The following is an 11,998-nucleotide window of genomic DNA, read 5'->3' on the forward strand; positions in this document are numbered from 1 at the left end:
AAAACCCTAGAAGAAAACCTAGGCAATACCATTCAGGACATAGGCATGGGCAAAGACTTCATGACTAAAACACCAAAAGCAATGGCAACAAAAGTCAAACTTGACAAATGGGATGTGATTAAACTAAAGAGCTTCTGCAGAGCAAAAGAAACTATCATCAGAGTGAACAGGCAACCTACAGAATGGGAGAAAATTTTTGCAATCTATCCCACTGACAAAGGGATCACATCCAGAATTTATGAAGAACTTAAACAGATTAACAAGAAAAAAACAATCCTATCAAAAAGTGGGCAAAGGATATGAACAGACATTTCTCAAAAGAAGACATTTATGCAGCCAACAGACATATTAGAAAAAGTTCGTCGTCACTGGTCATTAGAGAAATGCAAATCAAACCCAGAATGAGATACAATCTCATGCCAGTTAGAATGGCGATCATTAAAAAGTCAGGAAACAACAGATGCTGGAGAAGATGTGGAGAAATAGGAACACTTTTACACTGTTGGTGGGAGTGTAAATTAGTTCAACCATTGTGGAAGACAGTGTGGTGATTCCTCGAGGATCTAGAACCAGAAATACCACTTGACCCAGCAATCTCATTACTGGGTATATACCCAAAGGATTATAAATCATTCTACTATAAAGACACATGTGCACGTATGTTTATTGCGGCACTATTCACAATAGCAAAGACTTGGAACCAACCCAAATGCCCATCAATGATAGACTGGATAAAGTAAATGTGGCACATAAACACCATGGACTGCTATGCAGCCATAAAAAAAGATGAGTTCATGTCCTTTGCAGGGACATGGATGATGCTGGAAACCATCATTCTCAGCAAACTAATGCAAGAACAGAAAACCAAACACAGCATGTTCTCACTCATAAGTGGGAGTTGAACAATGAGAACATATGGACACAGGGAGGGAAACAGCACACATGGGGGACCTATCAGGGAATGGGGGGCTAGGGGAGGGATAGCTTTAGGAGAAATACCTAATGTAGATGATGGGTTGATGGGTACAGCCAACCACCATGGCACATGTATACCTAGGTAACAAACCTGCACATTCTGCACATGTACCCCAGAACTTCAATAATAATAATAAAAAGTAAAATTAAATTTTATTTTTCATTATTATTTTTGTTTAAATTTTAGACATTTAAATCTTAAAAAATGTTTTATATCTTGTGGGGAAGGTTTTGGAAAGACTCCACTTAGTGCTAATAAAAATGTAAAGTCACCTACCAAGGAAGATAAAAGATGAAGATCAATTCTTATTTAAAATGTTTTTTAAAAGCCTTCATTAGTAATTTTCCTGCTTCAAACTTTTTCTTTACTCTTTAATTTTAATTTGGTTTTTAATGTGTTGAATATTGAAAACTTTGAAAGGATTTAAGCTAATGCAGTTATTGTTTATTATTGGCTATCTAAAGAAATAGTATGGTTTTTGTCACTTATCTGAGTGTGTCCAGTAATCTATTTTCAGCAGACTGAGTTTTGTAGGGGTGGTCTTTGCACGAGAAATTTTCAAGTATTTAACCAGTTTAAGTTGTTGCTGATAAAGATATTTTAATTGTTTATGTTGTATTCAATCAGAGAAAGGAGGCCTCGCCACTTGAATTTAACTTACAGTACCACCCTTGAACCTTTCTATTTCCATATCCCAGAAAGGTCAGTGGTTTCCTCCGGGGAGGAGGTCAAGATGCTATGCCTTCACCTTCATGGTGCCTCTGGGAAGAGCTGCCCGCTCTCAGCGAGTTCCACAGTACATGTGAGAAAAAGGACTAACATGGCCATTAAACTTTAGTTTATCTTCTAATTACCTTTCCTTTAGCATGTGTGTATTAAAATTATCATGACTTCTTTAACATTTTAGTGTAGAGACTTTATCTTATTTGATTAATATTTCTTATCAACATTGTTGGTGCATAAGGCTAATTTAGTAGTATTTAAATACATTTTTAAATTAATAAGCTATATTTCCTAGGCCATTTATCTCAACCTTTACTACGACATTATTTGGTCTAATGAAATAGTTATATCATTTGAGTGTACCACCTAACTGTTCTGTGACTCAGCTTTACATTTGCAATGATAGTCAGTCACAGGCCAGCCCCAAAGCCTGAAGAAGTTAATGTATGTTGATGACCTTGAACAGTTCCAGATACAATGGAAAAAAACAACAAAAATATACTACTCTTATAATTGTTAGATATATATCTCGCTCTGTTTTATTTTTATATTTTCCCCCAAAAATTTAGGAGCATGGAGCAATTATTAATAATTCTTTCATGATCATTATTCTATCACTACTATTAGTTTGTATCTACTGAGTAAATTTATTAACACCCTAAAAATACTTTCTCTAAATAGGTGCAAGAATAGAGCTGATAAATAATACATAGAATTTCCATAAATCAGACTTTTTCAAACATATAAAAATTTTTTACATAACGAATGTTTCAAACTTTTAAAATTTCTAATATATAGGATTGTTTTAAGTGCTTCAATCATTTTAAAATGTAGGAAATAACCTAAACAATGAGTTATGATCATTTAAAAAGTTTTAATATCACCTTTAAAATTTCCTCTTTCCTTTACCTTTTTTTTTTTTATCTATTGATAAAGTCATATTCATTAAATTCTAGAGCGATTTTCACTTTCTTTTTTACTCTATCCCACAGATAAACCTCAGGATTTAATTTCTTCAATTCCTCTTGTCTTACAAGGATTTTTTTTTTTTTTTTTTTTTTTTAGACGGAGTCTTGCTGTCTCCAGGCTGGAGTGCAATGGCGTAATCTTGGCTCACTGCAACCTCCACCTCCTGGTTCAAGCAATTCTCCTGCCTCAGCCTCCCGAGTAGCTGGGATTACACGTATGTGCCACAACACCCGAATAATTTTTGTATTTTTAGTAGAGACAGGGTTTCACCTTGTTGGCCAGGATGGTCTCGATCTCTTGACTTTGTGATCCGCCCGCCTTGGCCTCCAAAAGAGCTGGGATTACAAGCGTGAGGCACCGCACCCGGCCCATCTTGCTAGGATTTTTTCAATAATTTTCTAAATTATTTTTAAAGCTAAAAGTTTCAGCTTTCCAATTTAAAGCCCTAATGAGAAAACTCTGTCCACTAAACTGTACATCTTAAATTCATCTACTTATGAAACAAACTGACAAATTGTGTTTCCAATGCTGTTAAAAGACTAATGATTTACCTACATTAAATTGTCCAGTCAAAATGGTTTTAAATAATAAATATCCTATCCTAAAGAAATGTCACTTATTCAAGTATTTATTACTATTCTGTTTATAATTATGCTGGACTCTCATTCTTGGCACTTTTTAATATAATTCTAGCTCCAACATAAATATTATTCCAGATACTGTCAGGGTTCTTGGAAGAATAATGGTGTAAATAGTGACATAAAATTATTTTCTTACTTCACAGTTATGAACTCCACCCGATCACACCTATCTGAGTGTCTTTCTCATTGCAGCATTTCTTACTGAGGTATGATTTACATTCAATAACATATTAGGTATTCAATTTGCTGAGTTTTGACAAATGTATACATATTTACTTGATTACCACAATCACAATATAAAATCTATCCGTTAACCTAAAAATATCTCCTTCCCCAAAACTCCCTTTCATCAGCTTGTAGATCTGAATCACCATCGCGTGAAATATACCTTCTCTAGAAACTCACCTTTTATTCTTCTAAAAATGGCGTTACTTGCCTACATTTTTGAAGGATATCAAATTCTCAGTTACATGTTTTTATTCTTCCTTTATCCTTTTGAAAAAAGTCATTCCAATGTTTTCTAGCTTTTATGGTTACTAATAAGTTATCTATTTTATTGTTGTTGTGTTTGAATAATTTCATTTTCCTTTGCGTGGCTTCAAGAATTTTTCTCTTTGTCTTTCAGGAATTTGACTGTGATGTTCCCTGCAGTGGATCCTTTGTGTTTATCTTGCTTGGGATTTGTTGAGCTTCTTGGATCTGTAAATTAATGTGTTCCACAAAATTAAGTTCTCAGCCATTATTACTTCAAGTATTTTTTTTTCTTTCTCTTTCTCTTCTTGCTTTCTGAAAATCAATTTGAACAACTATGAGTCTGGTGTCTGGTTTATATTGTCCCACAGGTCTCTAAGGTTCTGTTTATTTTCAGTCATTTTTAAATAATCTTTTCTCTCCTTCAAATTTGATTATGTTGTTATTTTACTGAGTTTCCTTATGTATTTTTCAAGAAAAGATTGTTTTTCTTCTGCCTGTTGTTTTAATTTATGTTTTTTCTTGTGCCCCTAGCAGCCTCCCTCACACATGCATAGTTTAGCTGTCAAAACTGTTTGTGTGCAATTTACATTTGGTATTTAGAAGTCATTCCTGCTATAGTTTTCAGGATGCCAGTTTTTTATTTTAAATTTGCAGCTGTTTTTCCAGCTCAGTGTTATAATCTCTAAAAGCACCAGAGATAATCTCTGATAATTATGACACTTTTAGGTGATAAGGCTTCAGTTTTTCTGATCTCTTATTTACTTGTATAGTAATCTCCTTTTATATGCAGGGGATACTTTTCAAGAGTCCCAGTAGATACCTGAAACTGCAGCTAGTGCAGAATCCTACATATGCTATGCATAGATTTCTTTTCTTCACAAATTTTGTTCCTTCTTTATTAAGTTAAACACTTTTGCCTTTCCACTTAAAGAAAATACTTTATGGCTTCTCTTTGGCATATCTGAATTGCCAGCATCGCAACTCTTGCCCTTTGGGGTCATTATTAAGCAAAATCAGGGTTACTTGAACACAAGCACTGCTATACCCTGACAGTCAGTCTGATAACTGACAGCAGGGAGACCTATCAGGAGATAGCAGGATGACCCTCTCATCAGGTCTGCTACTGGGCCTTGGCAAGTAGCTCTGAGCACTGACACTACATCCACATTTCTCTTAGGTGTTCCGGGCCAGGGGGCTCCCTCAGGCAACAGCTGCAGCAAGGAGGTAGGCCCACTTTTTCCAGGTGGGTCCTGCAGAGAGGTAGGAATGCCTTGCTCCCAAGGCAGCCCTCATGACTCACCCTTCTCTGTGCTCTGAGAGTGTGGGCTCCAATTCTGCTCAAATTCCAGCCACAGATCTCAGCCCAGCACTCCCAAGCTGTGCACTGCAGCTCTGGGACAAGCTCAGGCTTTTTGTTCCCTCCCCAACTTGTGGGCAGCAGGGGTGGGGAATGCAGCAGTGGTAATGTCAGGGGGTCTGTCAGCTGATTCTGGGTTTCTACCCCAGAGAAATGTAGAATCATGGCTGACTGGGGTGACCAGCTGGGGGTGAGGCAGCTGTTCTGCAAGCCCAAGCCAGAGGGCCCTGACTGGTGTAGGGCAACAGGGGCCACCAGGGATTGCAAGGAAGACAGGCTGGCATGTTCTTTGCAGGGTGGGTCCACACGCTGTTGATGTGCAAAAGAATCAGAGTCATTGTTTCCTCCTTAGCCTGGGAAGAGTAAGAGCCTTACTGCAGCAGTGGCAATGGCAGAGGGGTTGTCAGTTGTCCCTGAGAGCTGTACCCCAGAGAAATGCAGAGCCACCACCAACTGCAGTGATTAGGTAGGGGTGGTGGCCCAAGCTAGGAGACCCTGTCCAGTGAGGAGCAGCAGGGGCAGGGACCCACATGGAAAGCAATCTGGCCATCTTTCTGTCTAGAAGCTGCTGTGTGCAGCTCTCATACAACCATTCATTCAGGCTCTTTGTTCCCTCCTCAGCCTTAGGGCAGAAGGGGCAGGGATTGTGGCAATGGCAATCAGTGGGCCTGTTGGTTACCTCTGGGAGCCCTGTCCCAGAGAAATGCAGGCCCACAACCAGCCAGAGTGCTCAGGTAAGGGCAAGGTGGCTATTCTGAGGCCCAGACCAGTGGGCATTGCCTGGCAAGGTGCACAGGAGGCAGGGCCCAATTCCATCCACTCTCAGCACCATGGATGTGACCCCTATCCTAGGGCATGCAAAAATGCCTGGCCTACCTTGTTGGCGGGGCTATGGCAGCTGGCACCAGGGTGCTCAGGGATCCAAGGCTTGTGGCGCTCATTGTGGGCTTGAGTGGTGGCTCTGACCAAACCCTAGGCAGCCTTCCATATTGGTCTGGAAGTTGAGAGGGGTCAAGGGGACCTCCTGTGCCCAGGATTGCAAAGGTCTATGGCAGAAGTGTGGATCTCCAAGTGCTGTCACTCATTCACCTTTTCCCTGCAGTAGGGAGCCTCCCTAGCTCTGTGACAATCCCAGGTGAGTGGCTGTCCTGCCTCACTCCTCTCTGCTCTCCATGGGTTTCCATGGCTTCCTTGATGAATCCCAACATGACCTCTTGGATAATACACTTAAAGAGACAGTGTTTACTTGCCGCTCTGTCTCCTCTCCATGAGAGCAGCATGCACTAGCTGCTTCTAGTCGGCCATCTTGGCACTTCTTCCTCGTATTTTCTTTTTTCACTATCATATGTTAACATTTCAGCTGAAATATTTTAATAGGCACTATCATTTTGCCTTCATTGAGGGTACTTTTCTTCAAAAAGTATATTTACAAGATAAAATGAGCCAAATAATTTTCTATAATTTTGATCATTTAAAGTTTTATCAGATTTAGATATTGCTTAATATAGGCCTTTTGTTACATATAATTTGTTTTCTACCTTAATTTTAAAGAAATGTAGTCTAATGTTTTCATTTTTTAAGTTTAATGTCAATAATTATAATAAAAATCATCAAAAGATAAGTTTTTCTCAATTTTTGTGAATACTTAAAGATTTATAACATAGTTTGAACAAAATGCCTCCATATTTTTAGAGAAAATATTTACCAAAAAATGTTTAATGTCATTGTAGGAAAGTTAATTTACAAATAACTTTTAAAAGTTTAAATGTTCTGACCCGGAGTGGTGGCTCATGCCTGTAATCCCAGCACTTTCGGAGGCTGAGGCGGGTGGAACACCTGAGGTCAGGAGTTTCAGAGCAGCCTGGCCAACATGATGAATTTTAGTCTCTACTAAAAATACAAAAACTAGCCATGCATGGTGGTGGCGCCTGTAATCCCAGCTACTCGGGAGGCTGAGACAGGAGAATCTCTTGAATCCAGGAGGCGGAGGTTGCAGTGAGCCGAGATTGCACCCCTGCACTGCAGCCTGGGCAACAGAGGGAAACTCCATCTCAAAAAAAAAAAAAAGTTTAAATGTTCCTTTAATATAAGCAAAAAAGGAGAAATCATGTACTCTAGTATTGATTATGTATGAAGTCTTCTTTAAAATATTCTCTGCTTATATAAGTATACATCTTTCACTGCTACAACTTTTGTTTTGATGGGTAGAGGATTGCTGCTTCTTCAGTTGTGATTATATATTTCTTTGCACTAAAATTCCAAGAATATTTTGCTCAGAAGCTTCTAAAGTTGGTAAGAAAAATGTTTAGAGCATTATATTTTTTCCTTCAAATTTGTATTTATACCATTACGAAAAAAAATATTTAGATTCAACATTGAACATCTTAAATTGCAAATATCAGTCACAAAAATAGTAGATGTTTCTGACCAAAACAAACTTTCTGTTTGATTCCATATGTTGGATAAAACAAATTATTTATTAATACAATCAACTGTCTTTCTGTTCCCAGCATCTGATGATATTGACTTACTAGCACCATGTAATTTTTTGCTGAATTCTTCTGGTAATGGATCTAACACATCAGTAGCTATCATCACACTTTCTATAGTGCAAACACACACATACACACACACGGTGTCAAAAATGAACCAATTTAATTACCACTGCTCAACGAAATAAAATAAGATATAAACAAATGGAAGAACATTCCATGCTCATGGATAGGAAGAATCAATATCGTGAAAATGGCCATACTGCCCAAGGTAATTTATAGATTCAATGCCATCCCCATCAAGCCACCAATGACTTTCTTCACAGAACTGAAAAAAAAACTACTTTAAAGTTCATATGGAACCAAAAAAGAGCCTGCACTGCCAAGTCAATCCTGAGCCAAAAGAACAAAGCTTGAGGCATCACGCTACCTGACTTCAAACTATACTACAAGGTTACAGTAACCAAAACAGCGGGTACTGGTACCAAAACAGAGATATAGACCAATGGAACAGAACAGAGCCCTCAGAAATAATACCACACATTTACAACCATCTGATCTTTGACAAACCTGACAAAAACAAGAAATTGGGAAAGGATTCCCTATTTAGCAAATGGTGCTGGGAAAACTGGCTAGCCATATGTAGAAAGCTGAAACTGGATCTCTTCCTTACACCTTATACAAAAATTAATTCAAGATGGATTAAAGACTTAAATGTTAGACCTAAAACCATAAAAACCCTAGAAGAAAACCTAGGCAATACCATTCAAGACATAGGCATGGGCAAGGACTTCATGTCTAAAACATTAAAAGCAATGGCAACAAAAGCCAAGATTGACAAATGGGATTTAATTAAACTAAAGAGTTTCTGCACAGAAAAATAAACTACCATCAGAATGAACAGGCAACCTACAGAATGGGAGAAAATTTTTGCAATCTACTCATGTTACAAAGGGCTAATATCCAGAATCTACAAAGAACTCAAATTTACAAGAAAAAAACAACCCCATCACAAAGTGGGCAAAGGATATGAACTGACACTTCTCAAAAGAAGACACTTATGCAGCCAACAGACACATGAAAAAATGCTCATCATCACTGGCCACCAGAGAAATGCAAATCAAAACCATAATGAGATACCATCTCACAAGAGTTAGAATGGCGATCATTAAAAAGTCAGGAAACAACAGGTGCTGGACAGGATGTGGAGAAATAGGAACACTTTTACACTGTTGGTGGGACTGTAAACTAGTTCAACCATTGTGAAAGACAGTGTGGCGATTCCTCAGGGATCTAAAACTAGAAATACCATTTGACCCAGCCATCCCATTACTGGGTATATACCCAAAGGATTATAAATCATGCTGCTATAAAGACACATGCACACATATGTTCATTGAGGCACTATTCACAATAGCAAAGACTTGGAACCAACCCAAATGTCCATCAATGATAGACTGGATTAAGAAAATGTAGCACATATACAACATGGAATACTATGCAGCCATAAAAAATGATGAGTTCATGTCCTTTGCAGGGACATGGATGAAGCTGGAAACCATCATTCTCAGCAAACTATCGCAAGGAGAAAAAACCAAACACTGCATGTTCTCACTCATAGGTGGGAATTGAACAATGAGAACACATGGACACAGGAAGGGGAACATCACACACCGGGGCCTGTCGTGGGGTGGGGGGATGGGGGAGGGATAGCATTAGGAGATACACCTAATGTAAATGAGGAGTTAATGGGTGTAGCACACCAACATGGCACATATATACATATATAACAAACCTGCACGTTGACCACATGTACCCTAGAACTTAAAGTATAATAAAAACAAAATTGAAAAAATAAAAAATAAAAACAAGGGTTCTATAATAAAAATCTTGTTTAATTTTGTTTAAACCAGAGGAAAAAAAAAAAAGAAAAAGAAAAGCCACACTTTATACAGTACTATGTAATTGAGCTTTCTGCAACTGCCTCTGTTAAATTTTTATTTTCAGGAACAGTATCTTAAATGCCTGTTATTTTAAAAAGTACATCTGATGTTTTTGCAATAAATATGTGTCTTCTGTCTTTCATATAGCCAGTGATATCACCATATTAGTGCCCAGGGGTATTGGTAAATGTCAACAAATATTTTCAGCACTTTACACATTTATCATGTGTTTCTCAAAATATTTAAACTCAGTATATAATTTCTCATTAAATATGCACCTTTATGACCTCATTGTTGCTGAAAACGCTTATTGAAAATTTTTCAAAAAATGATTTACCAATAATATCCAGTAAGACAAAGGCATTAATTACAAATTTAAATGGCATAAGAAATGTTTTTGAGGTGAAGATGTTTTTTCTTCTCTCATTCATTTGAAGTTTTTCATTCCTAAACACATACCACCCCCCACAGACAATATATACATATAAATATATAAATGTATATATTTCTGTATTTATATATAAAAATATACATATATTTCTTTCAACGGGAATCAATTATTCATCCATCCATATAAATTTTTTACACTTTTAAAAATTAAAATACACATCAGAAAAAAGGAACAAAGTAGTTCTAAGCAATGGAAACTATAGGGAAGTTTAATAGAAAAATGTTAGCACATTGGGAGAAGATATTTTAGCAGCTAAACCTAATAAAATATTTTATATATAATTAACTCCAAAATTAACAAGAAGATAAAAAATTAAAAAGAAAATTAGGAAAATAATTTGAATATGCAATTCACAGAATAATTTTAAGTGTATGAAAATAAGTGCAATTTCTTTAGTAATCAGAAAAATGTAAATGTCAATAGCAATGAGATACCATTGTGCACTTATTGACCAAATCAAGTAGGTAAAGATGACTTACCATCTAGGATGTGAAAATAGGAGCTCACGCTTTTTTGGTGGGAGTGTATGCAGTTGCTACCATTTGGAGGCAATCTGACAGTACTTAGAAAATAAGTAAGCATAAACCCTAGGAACTAGTATTCTGACTCTCAGTTATATACCTGAGATAAATCTCTTACAGAAACATCTAAGTCTAACGCTATTTGGATTGTGGAGTGCAGAATGTAGTTACTGAGTTTTCCTTACAGAAATGATTAAATGTGGCAAGGCCCTCTTTGAGATACAATGTTATAATTTAATTAACTGTGATAGAGATACATACAACTTGTATAGATCATAAAAAATAGTTCTGATATATTTTTCAAGGCAGGACACAAGAAAATATCTACAATATGTATTGTTTAGATAAGACACAGACATTCACTATACCCAATATATTTTTCAAAGACATCTCACATCCAAGGATATAAGCCAAACACCTTTGAGTAGGTTCCTATGAGAAGTGAGAAAAGGGAGATACGATTGGAAGCAAAGGGAAAAGAGCAGAGTATGATAGACCAAACGAAACCAAGTAAACACATTGTGCCACAACACAGCACAAGTTAACTAGAGCATGGTTTTATACACATTGATGAGAAGAGTATGCTGAAATCTGAAGAGTAAAATTAATTTACTCTCATGTCTGCTCTTACAGTCCAAAACAAAATTCACACATACACACACACACACACACACACAAAATTTATCAGGAATACAGAAATACCAAAACTGAATTTTGAAATTAAATAATTCAAACAAAGCTGTTGGAACTTGAAATTATTCTGAAGCCTCGAGAGGAATGTGGCTACGTGGCCTGAGTCACACGGCATGCAGCTGCAACTTCTGCTTTATTTTTTCCCTGTAAACAATTAAGACCAAATAGCACCCAGGATAAGACCCCCTCAGATCACTTCTCCTCCTCACAAAAAAATAAAATAATTGTCCTTGGAATGTAGCAATCTGTGACTAATCAAATTATTGTGGGTATTATCTGGTTTCCTATGGAAAATGTAATCCTGATGAAATTTGTCTCCACCTTTATAAGTGAAAACTTAATTTCTCCACTTTTTTTTTTTAAACAGAGACATTGAGGGCAGGGAAATTACTCTACTTTGGAATGTTGACCCCACTCATTCAGAGTTGGTGTGTCCAGGCGGCCATCCTCAAGCTTTGCACTTGATTAAACTCTATACTTAATCGTATTTTCTGAATCTCATTATTTAAGATTGACAATAAAAAGCAGCAAGAGTAAAAGAGCTATACTTCCGGAAAATTACACATAGCAAAAGAAGTCAACTGTTGAGATTATAGTCTTTGTAAACTTGTAGAATAGAAGCCAGGTAGCCACAAATAATAAAACTGAGAATGATTCTGACAGAGAAAAGACATTTTTTATCTGAGGAATGCCAGCCCCTTTAAATGATCAGGCCCAGAGAGGTATTGAAAAGTGACAGCAGTCACACCTCACTTCCA

Source organism: Homo sapiens, chromosome 8 (genome assembly GCF_000001405.40).
Source record: "Homo sapiens chromosome 8, GRCh38.p14 Primary Assembly".
NCBI classification, from domain to species: Eukaryota; Metazoa; Chordata; class Mammalia; order Primates; family Hominidae; genus Homo; species Homo sapiens.